This window comes from Homo sapiens, chromosome 4 (assembly GCF_000001405.40).
Source record: "Homo sapiens chromosome 4, GRCh38.p14 Primary Assembly".
Classification (NCBI taxonomy): Eukaryota; Metazoa; Chordata; class Mammalia; order Primates; family Hominidae; genus Homo; species Homo sapiens.
This window is the reverse complement of record NC_000004.12, coordinates 131694335-131719992: the sequence shown is the minus strand read 5'-3', so window position 1 is coordinate 131719992 and position 25658 is coordinate 131694335. Positions and strand designations below refer to the sequence as shown.

Sequence of the window (25658 nt, the reverse complement as noted above, 5' to 3'; positions counted from 1 at the left end):
TACTTACACTTGTCAATGTCCTAGCTATAATCACGTATTTTTAGATTTTAATAAATATAATTAAATAGCGTTTCTATTTTTATAACAAGTTCTAAAATTAAGCCACAGTTGAAAATTCATAAGATTAAGTTTGATTTTTATTTCACTTTTATATGTATGAATCTTAAGAATTTGGTATTTCCTATCTAATATTTGTCTTTCTGTTCTTGGAAACTAATTTCAAATTATTTACAAGTTTCAGAAGTATGCAGCCAGTGAAGAATCCAATATCATTTTGTTCAATCTACCTATAATTTGAACTTAAATATGTATACTTCCACAAATGTCACTGAAGCAAGTATTTCAAGTATTTATTTCCAGGTATAATTTCAATTATGGGGTATTCAGATATCTTGTTATATCAACAAGTAAACATAATATATTAAATTATTTGAGATATAAAAAGTATATCTTGAAAACAGTGCAGTTCTAAATCTTTAAGGTAGGAAAGCAGCTCAGCAAATGTTTTCCTCCACTGTCCATGAGGCAAATATCTAATGACTGCACACACACACTCACACTCACACACATACATACACATTCTGTCTCAAATATAGATATATATTCACACTCTGATTCAATGAATTCAACCTCATGACTAAGGATTTGAATAGATAGTGTTTTTTAACCTTCATCTTTTCCTCTACTGCAATTTATAATTGAATTAGCTTACTTATTTCCTAGTAAAAACATTCCAGCATTGTGATACTATGATAAGGTTAAGATGTGAAAGTGTTTTTTACCATTTATTGTAGAAAACCTATCTTATTTTCAGATTTATAACAACCTTTTCAAATCCACTAAGGAGAAGTGTCTATGCCTTATAGATTGAAAAGCTCATCTTTACCAGTTAATTTACTTTTTACTTTTTCCTATAATAAAAGGCTTTCCATATCTGTAGGTACACAGTTTGACTTAATTATCCTATGTTATATATTGTAAATAATTACATGAGAGGTAATGGCAATTTAAACAAATAAAATGATGGCTATTTCTTTTTATTAACTTCATCATATTTCACTGAGGTTTTCCTTACTTTAGGCTTCCTTGATGGCTGCAATGTATGCTAAAAGTAAATTTTTATGTGAAATGTTTAAAATATTTGAAAATGATGCTTATTGTTTGTCAGGTTTTGCCACTATTAGCATGACTCAGTACCCATAGTGTCTGTCTCTTAGGGATGTGAAGCAAATGATTTCTCTGATCCAAAACATTTCATATGCTTTAAAAGTCAAACCATGCAAAGATGTGATATTTAGAATACTAGTTACATAATAATGGATAATAACTTAGCTTTTAAAACAACTGCTTTAAACATGACACATTTAAAGCTAATTTGTAACTTTCATATGTTTCTGAAACTTTCACAGTCACTAAATAATTTGAGTAAAGCAAATGGGCTTCAGACAGATTACAATTTGGAAAGATTGATTATAAATTGTGAATAATATGTAACAAAGAAAAATGTGGTCATTTGATTATATACCTCTTCCCCAAGATCAAGTAAATACTTTATCAATAGAAAAAAGAAAGAAAAGCAAAAAGAAAAGAAAAATAAAGCAACACTGCTATATAGAACATTTTTTTTTCTAAATGGAATCCAGTAGCAAAAAAAAAGACAATTGAAGATACTATTAAAAGATACAATTTAATATTAATATTGACCACACTTATAAATTCACATAATTTTATAAAACATATGCACTTCTGAGTATAAAACACACATAATACAAAAAAGATTATTACATTTTAAATTGTTAAAATTTCCTCAGTTTTTCCACACCTGATGATTACTCTCAATCTCAACAACGTAATTATAAATGATGTTTATTATTAAAAATAGATTATTTTGTGTGTGTGTGTTTTATTCAGTTAGGTGGTAAATTATAAGATTTTGCCAGGTGATTCAGAGAAGTAGCCTGGAAAAGTTTATATAGATGGTACTAAATGAAAGATAGAAAATTAAAAATTTATAGTTAAATTTATTAGAAACTTAAAATTCTTTAAAAAATTATAGTTAAGTAAATGAATCAACTAAATTTTTCCTTTTTCCTTCATATTGCAGAGTGTATTATTCCAGCCAGTTTACAATGCAGGCTTCCCATTTTGATACTAATTTTAACCTGACTTTTATATATCAATATTAAGGAGATGAAAAATAAATGTGATTGATTGTCTCCAGCTCTATATCCCTCCAAGGAGAGCTTTGGAACTGAAATCCTAATCAGGGGTTACATTTTTAATATTTTTGTCTCAAATGAATTTGAAGTCCTCCATATTATTTCCAAAGTTGCAGAGCAGAAAAGAGGTTACCAATAAAATTGGGTAGTTCTCATCCCAATTACAGAATTAGGCCAAGTTATCAGATATGCAACAAATATCCACTCAGAAAGATTGAATATTTAAATATTTTAATTTATGAAGTATTAGCCTATTGCTCAGTTATAGTATTTTGGAAATTTTTCTTTAAAAAAATATATCAAACTTGTGGTTAGATGCCATTACTGGCTCATTTTGCATCTGATCAAAACAAATACTGCATAAAACAAAGCAATGTAAGTTATAAAGCATTTTAAAATTGAAATAAGAGATCTTTATTTCTGTTGCATATCAAATGGGATTTATTGACTTCTTTTTCTCAAAAATGTCATATAGAAAATATTTCTACCCAATAAAAATTACTAATAACATTAGCATCAATGACTTACAAGTAGACACAAGTAAGATGAAACATAGATTAACTCATACCGTCAAATTCATATGGCCAAGTATAATCCCATTATATAACTATTTTCTATCACTAAGCATAGTCCAGCTATAAGTGTAAAAGGATGATGAAAAGTGTTGCTAAAACATTAAGTGAAAATATATTGAAAAGAATTCTTAAAGACAAGAAATACAAGAACACACCAATTTGCCATCACACTTTATGTTCAGCCCTTTAGTGAAAAAAAAGTTTTCTAATTAATATTTCATTTACATTGGGGACAAGTACATAATGGAGTCATCAATTTGCTTAGATTCTGAAATACCATTCATTTATGTACATATTTTCTCTATTCAAATGTACTATTCACATCACTTGTCAATTTGCATATATTAAATCATCATGCATAATTTACCATATTTTGAATATTTTATTAATAATGACCCTTTTCTACAATTTTTTATATGCACTTAAATTTTAAACAGCCAAACATTCAAAGGCTTAAAAATCAACACTTGAATTTTAAAATACTATTTGTATGAAATGAAATATTTAATTACAAATGTTAACTATATGTTATTGCTGTGACTATTGGGATAGAGAGTGGGCAGTTAGTATAAGCTATTTTGTTAATAAATAAAATTTTAAAAATAATCAATGGAATGTTCGTTTCAAACTGCTTTGTTATTTCATTTCAATTAAATTTAGCATAAACTTTACTTCACCAGCCAATTCCTTAGTTGTTCTTCTCCATTAACTCATGACTACTTTAGCTCTTGATGCCAAGCATGATGATGTTTGGTTTCAGAAGTTGTCACATTAACAATATGATCCTTGAAGCTACAATCATGCTAACCAATTTTGACAATTTTATATTTTATAGGGCCTAGTTCTAACTTTCTACTGTTATTTAATTTTATATATATTTTTTAAAATCTTGTTACTAAATTAAAAATAGACCTCTGGAAAATAAATTGAAAGTTTTTTTGTTTTGTTTTTTGTTTTTTGAGACACAGTCTCACTCACTCTATCACACAGGCTAGAGTGCAGCAGCCTGATCTCGGCTCACTGCAACCTCTGCTTCCTGGGTTCAAGCGATTCTGCTGCCTCAGTCTCCCAAGTACCTGAGAATACAGGTGCCCACAACCACGCCCGGATAATTTTTGTACTTTTAGTAGAGATGAGGTTTTGCCATGTTGACCAGGCTGGCCTCAACTCCTGACCTAGGTGATCCGCTCGTCTGGGCCTCCCAAAGTTCTGGGATTACAGGCATGAGCCACTGTTCCCTGCCAAATTAAAAGTTTTTATATGAAAAAGATATACACAAAGCAAAGATACTTTTACAATATGAAAGTGAATTATAATTGAGAAAAATATCTGCAGGCCATAATAGAATAGTTCTATTTCAATAGTTTGCAAACGATTTGTTAGTTCTGCTAAATAAAAAAATTTCCAACACTTGTTAAAATGGCTAAGGATCACTTTATTTAAGATTAAAATGATAGGAGTCAAGATTATTCTAACAGGGAAGAGAGATAAGGTTCAACTCTGAACACAGCAAAGATATCTGGGAAGTGTAGCTAATGAGCAAAGTGAAGGGTTGTCGATGAATACAAATTACTAAGAGGAGACATCAAGGGTAGGGCATTTCTTGTTAGCTAACTTAAGAGGATTCTTGCTGAAGGCAAGCCAGAGTGATCAGATATCAAGAGTGGGAGATTCTCTCTAAACTGACTTAGCAGCATTCTTGTAACAGCTGGACTAGTGGACTAGGCAGTGTAAAGACAGTGCCCAAGGACAAAGTAGAGTCAGAAAGAGTGCTCCTAGAAGCCTGACTAAAGCGTAGACAAGAAGAAAGTCTTCGTCAGTTCAAAAGTCACTTTCTATACTTATGATTTGGCCATGAGCATTCCTGTCTTTACTTGGTTTGGAGGAGTGGACTCAGCAGCATGTATGTTATGGGAAAAAAAGAGATTCGGAAAAATTACTTACATAAGTTTGAAAGGCAAGATGAATCTGGCCATATGGTAAAATCCAACAGAACTCTTCTGGTTATGAGTAATTTGTAAAATAATTCATACATTGCCCATTATATGCATTAGATATATGTAAATTTTACCATGCTCATTCTTCAGAATGGAAAAAGTGAAATACAAAGGCAAACATGGTAAAGCAATTTATTTTAGTTTTTGTGAGAAGTTGTTCTTCTAGAGAATGTTATATGACTCTATGCCCTCAGTTTGAAACTCTTATTGAACCATATCTAAATTAACTAATAAAATGAACTTTGAATTATATATGCCACTGTGTGCAAATTAACATTCATTGACTGTATGTGTATGTAAATATTGGCCAGTAAACACAGCCATTTACATCTTCATAAAGAGAATAACATTTCCAACTAAAATTCCTTCTAAAATTGGACTCATCAATTGGAAGTATGTCAAACAATTACTAAACTGATTTACTTGAACAAATATAGAAAATATTATCTAAGCTATGTGTACCTATTTTTTTATATTCCTAGAAATTAGGGGGAACTTTTATTTCCTTTGATTGAATATGAGTTTCTGACTTAACAAAATATATAATAGTGAGTCAGTAAAACGAATACTTTTACCAAGGATGGAAAGTGTTCTGAATTATCTAAAAGACATTTTCATTGCAGTTAACATTTGCCTGTGTAGAACAGATTAATATTAAAATCTATTTTTTCTTTTAACAAAATTTAGCAAATGAGGAATTTTCTATTGGTTAATTTCTTCTGACGTTTGTTCTATGTTGACCCTTCTGCCACTTCATGTTGCAAGATGTGAGATCTTACTTCATTTAACACATTCATATTCAAGGCAAACTAAATAGAATCAGGATGATAGACTTGTACATTTATGCTTTTTTACAGAAACCTTTAGAGAAGTGTTCAGCTGTATTGTATCTCACCTATAAAAGGTGGTTCACATTTCCAAATGGATAAAGGCTAGAAAAATCAAGAAAAAGAGCTGTCATGAGTACATGACAGCAAACATAATTTGGGGATTAGACTCATGACCAAATTGAAGTTCTGTAAGAAATTAAGAGAAAATTAATATTGGGCAGGCAAAATCCATGTTGGTATATCCTTATGCATATAACTAGAAATATATTGCTAATTTTAATAAACTTACTTTCAAAAATGTATTCTGTGTTATTATAATTTAACATGTGTTCATTAACTGTGTGTGTTCCTAAACCTTGTCTTATTTGGATATGATTTTTAACAATAAATAGTGGGGCAAGATGGAAAATCTGAAGTTTCACAAAAACTAAATATAAGACAAAAACAATATATATTCAACTAAAAAGGAGTTGGCAACAAACTTCTCTGATTCTATATCAAATCCCCAAAAACAATGGAATATGTATCAGTAATTATTGACTACCATAGGGTAATAATAATAATAAATGGTCATAAAATAAATTAGTTAATGGAAAATGGTAGATATTAATTATTGAATGATAAAGCACAATGTAAAACAAAATGATAATAGAAATAATCATACTCACAAACATAACAATCTGTATGTAGAAGTCTAGGTTTTCCAAATTAAAGCTGGTTACTCACAAAATCCTTGAAAAGAGTGAGAAGTTGGTGGGGTGATTATATTTTTAAGCTATGAAGTCGGATAGTGTGATGTTTCATCTCAGTACCACTATAAAATAAAGTTTTAATCCTGTTCATGTCACTCTTAATTTTCACTAGCTTTTTAGGTAAGGAAAATTCATGTCCATCGCTTCCTTGATTCATCTCTTTCAAAAGCAACATTTTAAATGGTTGATGACTTAACATCACTGCAACTATTTTCTCCTTCATTTAAGAACATAATCAACCATTTATGTGGGCATGTTTATTTTACACCTCAATTTTGGCTCAAGGAGTATAACGCATAGTGGCTTCTTTCTTTCATTTGCCGTATCAAATCCATGAACACCTGCCTTTAAGATGTATCAGATTACTTTTACCTCTTACTAGCCATGTCCAGGCAACTGCCAAAGCACTGGATCATTGGAATAGCTTAATAAATGATGACCCTATTTCTCTTACTTTCATTCCTAGAGGCTGTTTTTCAGCCAGGAGTCAGAATGATTATAAAACATAAATCAAATAATTTCACGGTCTTGCTCATAGCTTTCTAATTGTTCCCCTTCTCAAAGTAAAACCCAAAACCTTGTCATTGCTTGTGAAAGCAACAATATGGGATCCTTCTCCATACCTCCCCCAATTTATTTTATCACAGCCCTCATTGTTTTGGTCATTCTATCCTTAAGAGCCTCCTGATATTTCTTGGAAATGCCAAGATTCACCCACCTTAGAAACCACTTTGTTTTTCTGTCTTTAAAAGAGACATGCGCTGTAGATATTTGCTTGCTACTCTACTTACTTCTGGACATCTCAGCAGAATTCTTTTGAGAGGCAGAAGTCACTCTGGATCTGCATTCAAATTTCACCCTACAACTTATCCGCATGTTAATACTGCGTTTCTTTTTTTAATTTTTCACTACCTTTCTCGCCCAAAAAGAAAGAACATAAGCTCTTTTAGTCAGGGACAGCTATTTTTTTTTCTGTTTTCTCTTTTTCTTAACCTGGCATGAAGACACATTTCTGGCATAGAGCAAATGAATAATAAATATTTGTTGAATAATCTTGCCTAAGTTAATCCTTAATTTGTCAACTGTTGATTCATTTTGCTCTGAAATCAATGACAATAAAAAAGAATTGTACTTCTATTTTGTACTTTTTTACTCAGAGTAAATATTTATTGAGATTTAATTTGTGCCCTGTAAACTGCTAAACTCCTAAATCCATTAGGTCTATTTCTCCCATGAGGTAAATATTTACTCTTCATTGAGGATATAGCCAGCAAGGCAGAAACTAGTCTAGGACTTAACAAACAATCTGATTTTATTATGTGGAGCAGGTAACATCAGGGTGAAAATAACTAAGAAACAAAGCAAGGAATAGTGATGAAAGTATTAGCACTAGCAGAGAACTAATCCTTTCCTCATGATAGTAAGGTCAATGGGAGAAACTAAAGTTCCAGAGATCCAGTAATGAGCCATTTCACAGTAGAAATACTGCTGGTGAGAAATGGGACCAGGGAGAAATATGATCTCTGATGTAGGTGTCATTAGAAGCAGAGAAAACAAACAAACAAAAACAGAAGTGGCCTTTCTCCTTGCCTTTTCCTGCCCTTCAATCTTTGGCTTTTGCCTTCCCTTGCCTGAATCTACCCAAAGACTAGATGACAAGGAAGCATGAGAAATGCAGATTTCTGTTACAGTGAAAAAATAAAACTGCTGAGGAAATCGATCTGAGAGCAAACCAACTTTCATCAGCATATTAATATTATCATGTCATTTTACAGATTAAAAAATTCAAGTTCAGGGTTTGGGCTCACACCTGTAATCCCAGCACTTTGGGAGGCCGAGGGGGTTAGATCACAGGGTCAGGAGATGGAGACCATCCTGGCTAACATGGTGAAACCCTGTCTCTACTAAAAATACAAAAAATTAGCCGGGCGTGGTGGTGGGCACCTGTAGTCCCAGCTACTCGGGAGGCTGAGGCAGGAGAATGGCGTGAACCTGGGAAGTGGAGCTGGCAGTGAGCCGTGATCATGCCACTGCACTCCAGCCTGGGCTACAGAGCGAGACTCCATCTCAAAAAAATAATAATAATAATAATTCAAGTTGAGAGAGATGAAGCAACTTTTTAAGGCAATCAGACTACAGATCTAACTGTCATTTACACTAAAACATTTTAGGAAAACAAAATCATAATGCTTTTGTGGTATTTTGATATTTCAAGAAAAATAGTTATATGTTTTGGTGTGTGGCGTGTGTGTGTGTGTATACAATGACTCTACATTAAATCAAAAATTTAACTTAAATTTTTAAAGATAGAGTAAGGGCTGATAATAGGTTTACCACCAATGCACATTTTCAAGCAGTTAAGTGATTCTAATTAGTAAGAAAAAAACATAGTAGTCCATACCTAGCATATGGGCTGGCATATAGTTGGCACTCAGTGACTGTCTTTTGAAAGTTATTATGCCCTTGAGGCTGTTACAATTCCAAAATGAGATCGAGCAAAGTTTGTGATAGTTGTGATTGCACTTATAATTCACTTATAGGTGTTGAATTCTCAGTAAGGATAATCCAGGTACTTCACTTCCATTTATCCTTTGTAACATTTACTTAATACACACTTTGTGTTCTTATTGAACTTTTCTGTTATATTTTTAAAAGGTTTATTTGCCCTCCAGGTTAACTGGAGAAATAGTGTTTTATTCAAAGTTATGAAAAAGGACTTGCTCATTCTATTATTTCTACACAAATATTTATTACAAATATATAGATTACTTAAGTAGATACTTATCTGATGACTTACAAAATGATTTGAGAACAATTTAAAGTTACGTGGTGTGTTTTCTGTACACATAACCCACATACTAAGTAATTTATAAAAATCCATAAAATAGGAAATTAACTTAAAGGCCACTAGGCTCTCAGAAGAATAAATGACATTTGATGCTGGAAATCACTATTTTTTTCAGGTTTTGCATAATATATTATGTATCACTGCTCTCAAGATATTTCTTATAAAAATTAAAAGAAAACTCACACAGAATGAACTGTTATAAAATATGTAAAATTTTAGAAACTCTCATAATTATATGAATACTTAAAGCACTGCTCTGGAAAAATAATTGAAAGATAAAAGGACGTTTATCTTAAATGGTAGTGATTTTCATGTTTATTTAAAATAAGCACAGATAAAATTCTGAAAAAAGAATGATAAAGTGAACTCAGAGTAGAAAAATCCTTTAGTAGTGAAATAACAGGTAAAACAGGACTAAAATCTTTTAAATAATGTACTTAACTTACTTAGTTTTGAAAAGATCATCATCATGTATAGAAGGCCATTTTATGTCCAGAGCAATGTTGGCCTTGGTCTAAGCCAAAATTCTTAGTAGAGAGTTTTTAGAGTGTTTGCTGTGGTAACACGTGTTAACCTTTTTTCAATATAGCCAATTCAAAAATTTTAAGTAAAATATATGTTAGCCCTATTTCTACCTGCCATGCCTTTCAGATCTTATATCCTTATCTTATAACATCTGGCTGCTCCGAGATGGCCATTAAATCCCTGCTAGGAATTAGGAATCCATTCCTGTTTCAGGGTCCTCTTCATCACCTTCAAATTGTTTATGTACAGTGTACTTTTGAAGGCTATACACTTTATATTTTTAACATTTAAAAGACAAATATTGATGCTATTTATTCAGAGCTAAGTATATACGCATTTAAATATTAATCCAATATACATGTATTTGGTGCACATTACACGCTGAGTACTTTTCTAGGCCCTGAGGCTAGAGCTGGGCACAACTGAGACAAGTCCTTGCTTTGTGAAGCAGAAAACAGATGACTTCCAGTAAAGTGCTAAGTTGTGCTTGGGAAAAATAAAATTAGAAAAGCAGCTAGAAGGTGTACTGGAGATGACAAGAAACGAGAAGAGAGGTTGCTGTTATATACAGAGGGCAGAGAAGGCTTCCAGCAAAAAGCAGCATTTTACCAGCTATCTGAAGGATATGTGAAGCCCTAAGATCTTTAATTAGAAACGCTTTATTTGCAAGAGCAACAAAATATAAAATATTGATAATTTTGACAACAAATAACTTAGGATTTTCAAAAGAAAAATGACAAACTAGGTTGGCACCATGGCCTCTCACTTGTTATTTATTTTAAGCTTAATTTCTCTACTTATATAAAGGATGCAATTTTTGTTTTATTATACCCTTGCTGTGATTCATAATTCAAATAACAACTGTAAAGCTTGTAAAACTGTACCAGGTTTTTATATGGTATATGGTTTTACTCAATATATGAAAATATTGAGTAAATGTCAATTATTATTACAACTTTTGAAAACAAAAACAAGGGACAAAAGATGAGATTTGACTAAATCATGACCATGTTTTCTTAAATGAGTATTATCAATACACATTTTTTTCCAAATTACTTTAGTAAGTTTTATAATTTTAAAACACCTTAATGCATTCTAATTCTCCTCATTTATTGGAGTTAACATTTACTTTAATTAATAAAATTTTAGTCTATTTTTCTCTGTTTTGAAGACCTTTAAAATATGGATTTCACATTTTCACAAAATAATTTTTAGAATTTTTATAAATATCCAAATGGGGTGCTTTCCTATTGTTGGGATATTCCCTTTTACTAATACTGCTTTCATATTCTCCTTTCTGTAATGTATCTTAACTTCTTTTGTTGCAGAGAATGTGAACAATATTTGAAACTATACTATGGCCATACAAAAGTTGTCATGTTGTCTATGCTAACTGTTGTGCTAATTTTACTCTTTCAGTAGTGCCTGGTATAAAGTTTGGGTCTATCATGGTGATGTACTGGTGTACCTTACATATACCTTTGCTATATTGCACTTCACATACTGCCTTTTTCACAAATTGAAGGTTTGTGGCAAGCCTGCACTGAGGAAGTCTACTAGAGCCACTTTGTTTACAGCATGTGCTCACTCCATGTCTCCATGTCACATTTTGGTGATTCTCACAATATTGCAAGCTTTTTCACTATTATTATATCTGTTATGGTGATCTGTATTCAGTGATCTTTGATGTTGCTACTGTAATATGGGGAGAAACCACAAACCATACCTTTAAGAGATAGCAACTTAATCAATACATATTGTGTGTCTTCTGACTACTCCACTGAACAGAACTTCCCTGTCTCTCTCCCTCTCTTAGTGACTCCAACTTGTGAGACAGAACAATAGTGAAACTAGGCCAGTTAATAACCTTATAATGGGCTCTAAGTGTTCAAGTGTAAGAAAGAGTTTCACGTGTGTTACTTTAAATCAAAAGCTGGAAATACTTAAGCCTAGCAAGGAAAACATGTCAAAAGCCAACTTAGACCTAAAGCTAGAACTCTTGTTTTTAACAGTTAGCCAAGTTGTGAATGCAAAGAAAAAATTCTTGAAGGAAATCAAAACTGCTACTCCAGTGAACACAGGAACAGTAAGAAAGAGAAACAGCCTTATTGCTGAGACTTGGAACGTTTTAGTGGTTTTGCCAGAAAGTCAAATCAGCCACAACATTATCTTCAGCCAAAACGTAATCTAGACCAAAGCTCTAATGCTCTTCAATTCTATGAAGGCTGAGAGAGGTAAGAGAAAACTGCAGAAGAAAAGTTGGAAGCTGACAAAGGTTGGTTCTTAAGGTGGAAGGAAAGGAGCCGTCTTAACAACATAAAAGTGGAAAGTGAAAAAGTAACTGCTGATGAAAAAGCTTCAGCAAATTATTCAGAAAATTTAGCTGAAATAATTGATGAATGTGACTACCCTAAACAACAGATTTTCAATGTAGACAGAACAGTTTTATATTGAAAGAAGATTTCATCTAAGCCTTTCATAGCTAGAGGGGAGAAGTCAACACCTGGCTTCAAAGCTTCAAATGACAGACTGACACTCTTGTTAGGGGTTAGTGCAGCTACTGACTTTCAGTTGAAGCCAATGCTTATTTACCATTTGAAAATCCTAAGGCTAATAAGAATTATGCCAAATCTACTCTGCTTGTCTCTATAAATGAAGCAACAAAGCCTTTATGACAGAACACCTGTTTATAGCATGGTTTACTGAATACTTTAAGCCCACTGTTGAGACATACTAATCCAAATATAAGATTCTCTTTCAAATATTACTGCTTGTGGACCATGTACCTGGTCACCCAAGAGCTCTGATGAACATATACAAGGACATTAATGTTGTTTCATGCAACCTAACACAACACCAATTCTGTAGCTCATGGATCAAGAAGCAATTTTGACTTTCAGGTCTTATAACTTAATATATACATTTTGTAAGGTTGTAGCTGTCATAGATAGTGATTCCTCTGATGGATCTGAAAAATCTTCTGGAAAGGATCCACCATTCTAGACACTATTAGGAACATTTGTGATTCATGGAAGAAGGCCAAAGTATCAACATTAGTAGGAGTTTAGAACAAGTTGCTTCCAACCCTCATGGATGACTTTGAGGGGTTCAAGACTTCAGAGGAGAAAGTAATTGCAAATGTAGTGGAAACAGCAAGAGAACTAGGATTAAAAGTGGAGCCTAAAGTTGTCACTGAATTGCTGCAATCTTGTAATATAACTAACAGATGAGGAACTGCTTCTTATAGATGAACAAAGAAAGTGGTTTCTTGAGATGGAATCTACTCCTGGTGAAGATACTGTGAACATTATTGAAATAACAATGAGGATTTAGAATAGTCCCTAAATGTAATTGATAGAGCAATGGCAGGGTTTGAAAGGATTGCCTCTAATTTTGAATGAAGTTCTACTGTGGATAAGTACTATCAAATGATATCCTATGCTACAGAGAAGTCTTTCATGAAAGAGTCATTCAGTGCAGCATACTTCATTGTTGTCTTATGAAACTGCGCACGGCGGCTGACACCTGTAATCCCAGCACTTTGGGAGGCCAAGGAGAGCAGATCACCTGAGGTCAGGAGTTGGAGACCAGCCTGGCCAAAATGAAACCCCATATCTACTAAAAATGCAAAAATTAGCTGGGTGTGGTGGCAGGAACCTGCAATCCTGCCTACTTGGTAGGCTGAGGGAGGGGAATTGCTTGAACCTGGGGGGTGGAGGTTACAGTGAGCCGAGATGGCGCCATTGCACTCCAGACTGGGCGACGGAGTGAGACTCTGACTCAAAAAAAAAAAAAAAAAAAAGAAAGAAAAAGAAATTCCCACAGCCACCCCAACCTTTAGCAATCACAATCCTGATCACTCAGCAACCACCAGTACTGAGGCAAGACCCTCCAGCAACCAAAACATTATGACTCACTGAAGGCTCAGATGATTAACATTACTTAGTAATAAAGCTTTTTAAAATTAAGGTAAGTACATTATATTTTTAAACATAATACTATTACACACTACAGTACAATGTAAACGTAACCTTTATATGCATTGAGAAACCAAAAATTTTTGTTGACTTGTTTTATTGTGATTTTTGCTTTATTGTGATGGTCTGGAACAAAACCCACAGTATCTTCAAGTATGTCTCGAATATGTAAAGAATTTTTAAAAATTTTTAGCATATTTTACAAAACTTATTGCCTTATAAGTACTCACTCAATATTTTATTTAAGGAGTACATCTTGATTTTTAAGGGTTTCTTAGCTTTATTGATTATGTATTAAAACCTCAGCATTTCAATCATAATGTATAAGAAGTATGTTTATGTCATTATTTTTAAAACATAATTTGAATAAATGTATAATATTCCATGTATGCTGTTATCATAACATATTTAAAAATTTTAGCAACATTCAATATCTCTTATTTTATTGTTATCATATTTTGAAAATTAAAGCCGAATGATCACACTTTTTACATAGCTTTCGTTTGATTTTACTTTCAAAGATTATGGTCAAGTTCTCTCACTATGTAGACTCTTTTTCAATCATATATTTCTAGTTTCATAATTGACACAGCATGTTTCTTACTTCAAAAATAGCATAAACTTGAAATTAAATTAGATTCCTATTTAGGTACATTTGAATAATTTAAAGTAAATGTCTTACATTGCAGAGCTAGAAAAATGTTTATTTTTTATATTTTGGTTTGCTTTTGGTTCTTTTAGTTCTTTAGTTAGCTTTTTTTAAAAAATAAAACACTTTACAAATATTCTCTCTCAAATATATGTACGAACTAAATGTGGTTTGCTTTCAGCTACAGTTGACCCTTGAACACATGTGTGGACTACGCAGGTCCACTTATATGCATATTTTTTTTCAACCAAACTCAATAAGAAATGCGGTGTTTTCTGTAGGGTTGCCTTTTCCTATAAACAGGTTCCACAGGGCCAACTGGGAAACTTGAGTATATGTGGATTTTGGTACATGAAGGTGCCCCTGGAATTGATCCCCACCTATATGGAGAGATAACTATATGTTGTGTTTGCTAGATTCACCAGCCAGAGATAATATACTATTATGGAATGCTTTAGATTTATACAATTAACTAATATATTTGGCACATTTTTATTTATGGTTCACATCAAGTTACATACTCAATACATGTCTGACTTAGCTTCTTTATCTGTAATCTGAGAATACTCCTTTTCCTGAATACATATCATGGTGACGAGGATCTTACAAAACAAATCATGTCAAAGACTAGTCATGTGCTAGTTAGTTTTAAACATTCTTTAACAAATAATCTCCAGGGACACTACCTTCAACACTGAATCTTTGAGAAAATCTAGTTTTTAAATGGTCCACATTTTTGCATTAATTTTTAAAAACGTATTGAAGACCATAGGAAAGAACTGGAAAGATTTCTGAGACATCTGAAAATAATAGAAAATAATCTATTTTATATCAAGAAACATTGAACAAAAATGAAATAAATAAAAAAAATTCTGTGGAAGAAGAAATTAATTCAACCTCATATATTTCTCAGTCAATTTATTCAATCAATTTATTCAATAATGAGGTCACTTGATTTACTTCATGTGTACATTTCAATGAATGACTGCATGTCTAAATTATATTTTATACTTTTTTACTGAGATTATTCACACTTCAGTCTTCCTGTTTTGGTACAAAATATTTTAGACAAACTATTATACTTGTTCATGTATAACTGTCACCTTAGTTATAAAAATGATGCTTAAGTTAAAAACAAAATAATTTTAATAAAGAAGTGTGAGAAGTAATATATAACCTCTGAGTCAGTCAGAATCTAGCAAAGCTTTATAGATCACATTCATTAAACATTTTACATTCACTGTCAGTGGCTCTAATTAAGAATGATCATATAAAAAGATCTTTTCATTTTTCTTGGCTTTTTCTAGTTTGCCCAAATCGCACCAATTATTTCTTCTATACTGTTGGTTCATGAGTTCGTGACTGTACATAGTTAGTAATTACTTAAAATCAGATTTTTTTTTTACATTTTACTGAAACATAGTTTAATTTACCTTTGCTTTTCTCCCATTAGCTTGATATATTATTGAACTATAATAATTTTAAAAAGAAAAATCACACTATGCTAAAGATAAGGAAGCATTTAAATGACAGAACTATTTTGTCTGAATAAAGACACAAGATCATATATAGAGAAGAGAAAATGAGCTAATTCGTATATTTGGATGATATGAAGTAGATTAAATATTTTATGTTTTTAAATAAGTAACATGTTAAGCAGGACAGAAAATTATTTTTAATAAAATAAAAAATATACAAAAGCTTTAAAATTCATGCAAATATCTAAATGAAAGAAGAAATCAGACAATGTATATCTTGGCATTGTTCAGTCGGGGATTATTGCTTGGACAATATTTGCTATATTTGTATTTCTCTGTCTTGTTGTTTTTTTTCTATTAGTGGAATATAAAAATTTCAAACATGAAACTAAAATAAACCAGTAAAATAACATCATTATGGGCTGACATACTTTTGGTGTGTTAAGGTGTATTACTAATATGATACATATTGTAAAAACCATCAATAATAATTTAAAATTATAATATTTAACAATAAAATTACTATGTTTTGTAATTAACTATGTTAACTATATCATTAACTATATTAATGACACTGATATTGCATAAAAATATATTTGTATAGCAGATAAAAAGATGGGGGAGGGATAGCATTAAAAGAAATACCTAATGTAAATGACGAGTTAATGGGTGCAGCAAACCAACATGACACATGTATACCTATGTAACAAACCTGCACGTTGTGCACATGTGCCCTAGAACTTAAAGTATAATAAAAAAAAAGTTGTAAAGATAAATTTTGTCTAGAATTCAACTAACAGGCAGCTAGAAATTTTTAAGGATAATTAAAATTCAAAGATGAAATTTGAATGTTAACATAAAGCAAAATAAAGGAAATGCCAAATACATAACAATTTTAAAACTATAACAACTTCAAAATTCAAAAAGAAACTTTTATATTATTATGTTATATAATATTTTTATTTTTAAAGGCACTTTTTTCTTGTGATTAAAGGTATGTTTTCTCTAAAAAACATGTATTTTTCTACATTTAAAAAAACTATTTTTTAACTTAAAAAATAAATTTTCTTCCTTTTTCTGTTCCTATTTTATTTTTTTTAAATTTTTTTAGACTTTTGGCCATTTTTCTTAACTTGATTGTATAGCACTAAAATAACTAATAAAATACTATAATTATATAAATTTTGATAGGATGTTAGTGGAAATTTATATGCTATTCTGTTAGTTTATTAAATTAATGTTTATTTTTATACAAACATTATTTATTTTCACTTAAAGTGGCTACTAAAATGAATAATAAGCAATCATAAAATAATTATACAAAATTATATAGATAAATAAGGGCAGAAATTGTATATATATATATATATATATATTTTTTTTTTTTTTTTTTTTTTTTTTTTTTTTGAGAGAGAATCTCACTCTGTCGCCCAGGCTGGAGTGCAGTGGCACGATTTCAGCTCACTGCAAACTCCACCTCCTGGGTTCACACCATTCTCCTGCCTCAGCCTCCCTAGTTGCTGGGACTATAGGCGCCCGCCACCACACCCAGCTAATTTTTTTTTTTTTTTTTGTATTTTTAGTAGAGACGGGATTTCAGTGTGTTAGCCAGGATGGTCTTGATCTCCTGACCTCATGATCCGCCCGCCTTGGCCTCCCAAAGTGCTAGGATTATAGGCATGAGTCACTGTGCCCAGCCAGAAATTGTATATTTTTAAATACACTAATAATCTTAATAATGCATCCAGTATATTTATATCAGTTACTGAGAAAGGTGTATTAGAATCACCTTCAATAATTTTGGTTTTAAAAATTTATCCAATTAAGAGACACTAGACCTTCTGTTTTCTTCCTAGTGAAAATACAATGAGAAGGCAGCTGTCTGCAAGCCAGGAAGAACCCTTACCAAGAATTGAATCTGCTGGCACCTTTAACTTGGACTTGCCAGCCTGCAGAACTGTGAAAAACAAATGTCTTTTGTGATCAAGTGCCAAGATGACTTACTAGAAGCAGCTAGTATGCTCCACTCTCGTGAAAAGGAAATAGACTGGCCAGTAAACACTAGCACTTCAACTGGATCTTCCAAGAGGACATGTTGGGATTCAGCAAGGAAGCAACAGAAGCCATGGAGAACAAAAACAGCAAGACACAACAGCCACCCACCCAGGATTGGGTGGAGTCAGGGGAGGATCCTTACCACAAAGAAATAGTGACTGAGAGAGAGCCCCATGGCCCCATACTTCTGTCATGGACCTTTGTAATCATAGGCACAGGTGATCCACCCTGAGTCCCTCCCCCTGGGGCCTTCAGACTAACAAGGAGAGCTGCATAGAATCTGGGCAGAGCTCCAGATCAGGCACATGAGAAGTCCCGGAGGTCTTAGACCCCTAAGCACCCCAGTGCTAGTTGCCATAGCTTCACCAACAAGGAAGGCCAAGTTCTCTGCACGCCAAAGGTTAGTGGCTACATTCATGGTTCTGAGGAGCAGAGGGACTCATGCCTTGCCTCTGGTAAACCTCTCTGGGCAAAGCACACTGACCTGGAACTCCAGAACAGCCATGAAACACCCACTTGACCTCTTTGACTGGCAGCAGCTCTGCATTTCTCTGGGATGAAGCTCCCAGAGGCAATAGACATATCTGCTGTTTTTGCTGCTATTGCAGCTCCAGCCACTACCCAACTGCCTTCAGGGTCAGGAGGGAGTGAAGATCGTTATGACTATTGTGGGCCTCCAGCACAGGGCAAGCTGCCTTCTGGAAAAGCAGTCATATAGTTTTTAATGTTGGTCATGGCCCCTTCTACTCCTCACTGGTCAGGGCCTCCTGGCCTGAGCCTCCAGCACAGCCACCTACCTCAGCCTGACAACTTGGGCCAGAAGCAGCATTGCATTTCCCTGGGACAGAGCTCTCATAGGTATAAGACAGGCCTGCCGTTTTTGCCTGCTATACCCCTGCCCATACTGCCCTCAGATCAAGAGAGAGCAAAGAGGCTTAAGGATTATAGCAGGTCTTCAGCTCAGCACAGCTGCCTTATGGAGGTGTCAGACTTTTTTCCATGCCTGTCTTTGCTCCTGCTACTTCTCACTGGGCAGGGTCTCCCGACCTGGGCCCCAGCACAGCTACCCTGCTCCCACTTGAACATTTCAGACAGTGGCATCTGTGCATTTCTCTGGGATAGAATTCCCAGCGACAACCCACAGCCCCTCTGCCATTACATACAGTGGTACCACCCTTGCTGCCTGATATGGTTTGGCTCTATGTCCCCATTCAAATCTCATCCTGTAGATCCCACAATTCCCATGTTTTGTGGGAGGTACCTGGTGGGAAATGACTGAATAATGGGGATGGGTATTTCCCATGCTGTTCTCGTAATAGTGGATGGGTCTCACCAGATCTAATGATTTTAAAAACAGGAGTTTCCTGACACAAGCTCTCTCTTAGCCTGCTGCCATCCATGTAAGATGTGACTTGCTCCTACTTACCTTTCACCATGATTTTGAGGCCTCCCCAGCCACGTGGAACTGTAAGTTGATTAAACCTCCTTCTTTTGTAAATTGCCCAGTCTCAGGTCTGTCTTTATCAGCAGCATGAATATGGAATAATATAGTAAATTGGTACGAGTAGAGTGGGCTCTACTGAAAAGTGCCTGAAAATGTGGAAGCAACTTTAGAACTGGGTAACAGGCAGAGGTTGAAACAGCTTGGAGCACTCAGAAGAAGACAGGAAAATGTGGCAAAGTTTAGAACCACCTAGAGACTTGTTGAATGGCTTTGCCTAAAATGATGATAATGATACAGACAATGAAATCCAGGATGAGGTGGTCTCCAATGGAGATGAGGATCTTGGGGACTAGAACAAAGGTGACTTTTGTTATGTTTTAGCAAAGAGACTGGTGGCATTTTGCTCCAGGCCTAGAGATTTGTGGGACTTTGAACTTGAGAAAGATGATATAGGGTATCTCATGGAAGAAATTTCTAAGCAGCAAAGCATTCAAGATGTGATGTGGGTGCTGTTAAAGTCACTCAGTTTTATAAAGGAAGTAGAGCATAAAAGTTCAAAAAGTTTGCGGCTTGAAAATGTGATAGAAAAGAAAATCCCATTTTCTGAGGAGAAATTTAAGTCAGCTGCAGAAATTTGCATAAGTAATGAGGAGATGAATGTTAATCCCCAAGACAATAGGGAAAATGTCTCTAAGGCATGCCAGAGGTCTTCATGGCAGCCCCTTCCATCACAGGCCTGGTGACCTAGGAGAAAAAAAGTGGTTTTGTGGGCCAGGCCCAAGGTCATCATGCTGTGAGCAGCCTAGGGACTTGGCACCCTGCGTCCCAGCTGCTCCAGCCATGGCTGAAAGGGGCCAATGTAGACTTTAGGCTGTGGCTTCAGAGGGTACAAGCCCCAAGCCTTGGCAGCTTCCACTTGATGTTGAGCCTGTGAGTGCACAGAAGTCAAAAATGGGGGTTTGGGAATCTCTGCCTAGATTTCAGATGTATGGAAATGCCTGGATGTCCAGGAATAAGTTCACTGCAAGGGTGAGGCCCTCATAAAGAACCACTGTTTAGGGCAGTGTGGAAGGGAAATGTGGGGTTGGAGTCCCCACACAGAGTCCCTACTGGGGCACTGCCTAATGAGGCTGTGAGAAGAGGGCCACCGTCCTCCAGACCCCAGAATGGTAAATCCACTGACAGCTTGCACCGTGCACCTAGAGAAGACTAAGACACTGAATGTCACCCTGTGAAAGTAGCCATGAGGGAGGCTGTACCCTACACAGCCACGGGTGGGGAGCTACTCAAGACCTTGGGAACCCACCTCTTGCATTAGCATGACCTGGATGTGAGACATAGAGTTACTGGGAGATCATTTTGGATCTTTAAAATTTGACTGTCCCTCTGGATTTCACACTTGCATGGGGCGTGTAGCCCTGTTGTTTGGCCAATTTCTCCCATTTGGAATGGCTGTATTTACCCAATGCCTGTACCCCCATTGTATCTAGGAAGTAACTAACTTACTTTTGATTTTACAGGCTCATAAGTGGAAGGGACTTGACTTGTCTCAGATGAGACTTTGGACTGTGGACTTTTGAGTTAATGCTGAAATTAGTTAAGGCTTTGTGGGACTGTTGGGAAGGCATGATTGGTTTTGAAATGTGAAGATATGAGATTTGGGAGGGGCCAGGGGTATAATAATATGGTTTGACTCTGTGTCCCCACCCAAGTATCATCTTGTAGTTCCCATAATTTCTACATGTTGTGGGAGGGACCCAGTGGGAAATGATTGAATCATGAGAGTGAGTCTTCCCCATGCTGTTCTCATGATAGTGAATGGGTCTCATGAAATTCGATGGCTTTAAAAATGGGAGTTTCCCCAAACGAGGTCTCTCTTTGGCTGCAGTCATCCATGTAAGATGTGACTTGCTCCTCTTCTTGACTTCTGCCATGAGTTTGAGGCCTCCCCAGCCATGTAGAACTACAAATTGATTAAACCTCTTTCTTTTTTAAATTGTCCAGTGTCAGGTATGTCTTTGTCAGCAGTGTAAAAAAGGACTAAGAAACTGCCCTTGGGCTGGGGAAAGAACAAAATCCTGGTTGCTTCACTAGCACCTTCATCATGACACAGCTGCCATATAGCATAGAACCCAGTCTCTCTTCCTTGTGAGCTCCCAACTCCTATCCTTCACTAAGCAGAACTCCTTGCTTGGGCCTGCAGAGTAGCTACCTCACCCAAGCTGAACATTTCTATTGCCAGTGGCTCTGTGTTATCCTGTGATGGAGCTCCCAGAGGCAAATGACAGCCAACTGCCACTGCCCATGCAGTGGTACCTGCCCTTGCTGTCTTAGACTGGGAAAGAAATAAAAGAGCCTGAATGCTTTACTCATGCTTCCAGCACACTATGATTACCATATGATCACCATATGGCATGGAGCCCAATCTCTATTCTCTGTGAGCACTTGATCCCGTGCTCTTCACCAGGCAGGGGCCCCAGCAAAGGCTCATAGTGCAGCAGCCCCACTCCAGGCTGAAAATGCCCAGTGGCAGTGGTTCTGCATTTCTCTGGGGTGGAGATCCCAGAAGCAGCTGAAAGTTTCTCTGCAACCACTATTCAGCAGTACTGCCCTGGCTGCCCTCCAGCTGGGGAGGGAACAAGACCCCAAGTGCTTTACTCACACCTCCAGCACACTGCAGCTACCCTACAGAGAAGAGGTGAATCTGTCTTCTCACAAGCCCTGACACCCTCTGCTCATCACCAGTAGTGTCCCCCAGCTTGGTTCCAAAATGCACAGGCCCCATCAAAGGTTGACCACTCCATTTGGCAGCATCTCTGCAATTCTGTATAGTGGAGCTGCAAAAGACAAGTGATAGACCTCCAGCCATTACCACTGTCAAGGTCCTCACCTCTTTTGTCCCCAAGCTTACGAGGAAACAAAAACCTTGAGCTCAACCCAGGGCTGTGATGTGCAGCACTGCAGTGACAAGCCAAGCTATGCAGCCAGCATTTCAGTAGGAGGGAAGCCTACACACACAGAATACTGACATTGAGCGTGACTGCAAATGTGAGAAAATACACATTTGTGTATGAACAAGAGCCTACCTATCAGCCATTATAGGTAGGTAGGCTGAACAAGAGCCTACCTATCAGCCATTATACCTAAGTGTCATCAGCCAGATTGCAGCAGAAACTTCAACACTAAAATTACTTTGCTAATATAAGCCTCTGTGAAACCCAGGACAATAATTCAGCTACTAATAAAGATCATGCGAAAAGGTGCTTTGAAAACATCCAGAAACAAAGTCAACTGACTATGCTCAAATTATACCACAGTTAAAGAAACACCAGCCCACACAGATTAGAAAAAAGCCAACATAAGAACTCTAGCAACTCAAAAAGTCAGAGTGTCACTTTACCTCCAAATGACTGCACTGGTTCTACAGCAATGGTTGTTAAATAGAAGGAAATGGCTGAAATGACAGATATAGAACTGAGAGGTAGAAGGAAATGAAGATCATTGAAATTCAGTAGAAAGTTGAACACTATTTCCAAGAATCTGAGGAATCCAGTAAAATGATTAAAGAGAAAAAAATTAGCCATTTGAAAAAACAAAACAAAACAAACAAACAAACAAAAACCAAGCCTAGCAGATAGAGTTACAAAACACAGTACAAGAATTTCATAAAATGATTGGAAATATTCACAGCAGAATGGACTAAGCCAAGAAAAGAATCTCAGAGACTGAAGACTGATTATTTAAGTTAACACAGCCAGAAAATAAATAAAGAAAAGAAGAATTTTAAAAAATGAAAGGTCAGGCATAGTGGCTCACGCCTGTAATCCCAGCACTTTGGGAGGATATTGAGACCATCCTGGCTAACATGGTGAAACCCTGTCTCTACTAAAAATACCAAAAAAAAAAAAAAAAATCACTGGGCATGGTGGCAGGTGCCTGTAGCCCCAGCTACTCAGAAGCTGAGGCAGGAGATTGGTAGGAACCTGGGAGGTGGAGCTTGCATTGAGCTGAGATCATGCCACTGCACTCCAGCTTGGGCTACAGAGCAAGACTCCATCTCAAAAAAAAAAAAAAAAAAAAAAAAAAAAAGAAAAAGGAAAGAAAAGAAAAAGCCTTGGAGAAATAAGGGATTCTATAAAAAATTTCCCCAATTTCACTAGAGAGATTGACATATACATTTAGAAAATTCAGATAACCCATGTAAGATGCTATGTAAGACAACCATTGCAGAGACACAAAGTAATCAGATTCTTGAAGGTGAATGCAAAAGAAAAAAATATTAAAGGCAGTTAACGACAAGGGGCAGGTCACATAAAGTGGAAACTACATCAAACTCACAGGGGAACTCTCAGCAATACCCCACAGTCAAAAGACATTAAGAATCCATATTCAGCATTTTTGAAAAAATAAAATTTTGTACCAAGAATTTTATGTCCCACCAAACTAAGCTTCATAAACAAGGGAGAAATAAAATCCATTTCAGATAAGCAAAAGCTAGGGGAATTTATTACCACCAGGCCTTTAGAGACCACAAGAGATCCTTAAGAAAGTGCTAAACGTGAAAATGAAGGACTGTTACCTAGCACCAGAAAAACACACTCAAGTATATAGACCATCAACACTATAAAGTAATTACACAATCAAGTTTACATAACAACCAGCTAACAACATGCTGGGAGAATCGAATGTGCATATGTCAGTATTGAAGATAAACAAGCTAAACACCCACTTAAAAGGCACGGAGTGGCAAAGTGGATAAAGAATCAAGACCCAACTGTATGCTGTCTTCAAGAGACCCATCTCACATGTGAGAACACCCATAGGTTCAAAGTAAAGGGATGGAGAAAGAAGTACCAAACAAATGAAAAACAAAGAAGAACAGGTGTTGCTGTTCTTATTTTAGATAAAACTGACATTAAACTAACAATGATCAAAACAGACAATAAAGGACATTACATAATGATGAAGGATTCAATTAAACAAGAAGACTTAACTATCCTAAATATATATGCACCTAACACTGGAGCACTCAGATTCACAAAACAAGCTCTTAGAGATATACAAAGAAACTTACATAACTACACGATGACAGTGGCAGACCTCAACACCTCACTGACAGTGTAAGACAGATCACTGAGGCAGAAAACTAACAAAGATATTCGGGACCTAAACTTGACACTTGGCCAAATACACCTAACAGACATCTACAGAACACTCCACACATCAACAACAGAATATATATTCTTATCATCTGCACATGACACATATTCTAAAATCAACCACATGCTCAGCTATAAGTCAATTCTCAACAAATAAAAAAAAAATTTTACCAGCCACACTATCAGACTACAGCACAATAAAAATACAAATCAATACTAAGAAGATCCGCCAAAACTGTAGGATTAAGTGAAAATTAAACAACCTGAACCTGAATGACTTTTGGGTAAACAATAAAATCAAGGCAGAAATCAAGAAATTCTTAGACTCTGATGAAAACAAAAATACAACACACCAGAAACTCTAGAACACAGCTAAAGCATGGTTAAAAGGAAAGTTTCTTGTGCTAAACACTTATGTCAACAGCTAGAAAGATCTCAAATTTGCAACCTAACATCACAGATAGAGGAACCTAAAAAACAAAAAAGAACCAACCTCGAAGGTAGTAGAAGAAAAGAAATGGCCACAATCATAACTGAAATTAACAAAATGGAGATGAGAAAAAAATGTTAAAAAATCAACAAAACTGAATGTTGGGTATTTGAAAGAAAAAATAATGTTGATAGGCCATTATCTAAACTTATAAAGAAAAAAAAGAGACAATATTCAAATAAACACAATCACAAAAGAGACAAAGGGGACATTACCACTGACCCCACAGAAATACAACAATCCTCAGGGATGATTATGAACACCTCTATGTACACAAACTGAAAAACCCAGAGAAGCTGCATAAATTCCTGGAAGCAATCTTCAAAGATTGAACCAGGAAGAAAGTGAAACTTTGAACAGACTAATAGGAAGTTCCAAAATGAATTGGCAATACAATGCCTATCAATCAGAAAAAGTGTTGGCCCCAAAGGATTCACTGCCAAATTCTACCAGATGTATAAAGAAGAGCTGATACCACACCTACTGAAACTATCTAAAATAATTGAGGAGGAGGGACTCATACCTAACTCATTCTATGAGGACAACATCATTCTGATACCAAATCCTGGCAGAGATGCAATGAAACAAAAAACTTCAGACCAATATTTCTAATGAACATAGATACAGAAATATTCAACAAAATACTAGCAAACCAAATCT

The 25658-nt window shown here is 35.2% G+C and overlaps 1 long non-coding RNA gene across 4 annotated transcripts in view; it reads right to left on the bottom strand.

Annotated features, from left to right (window-relative positions):
* Positions 1 to 1668: 1668 nt before the first annotated feature.
* The window catches only part of LINC02377 (long intergenic non-protein coding RNA 2377), a 338568-nt gene continuing 314578 nt past the window's right edge, over positions 1669 to 25658 (bottom strand). For 3 of the 4 annotated variants that reach the window (NR_183920.1, NR_183918.1, NR_183919.1), the window contains 2 exons: positions 6290 to 6353; positions 1669 to 4032 (listed from right to left, as the gene is read on the bottom strand). This is a non-coding gene — a long non-coding RNA (long intergenic non-protein coding RNA 2377). The remainder of the gene's footprint in view (positions 4033 to 6289; positions 6354 to 25658) is intronic. The other variant, NR_183917.1, reaches the window with a different exon arrangement.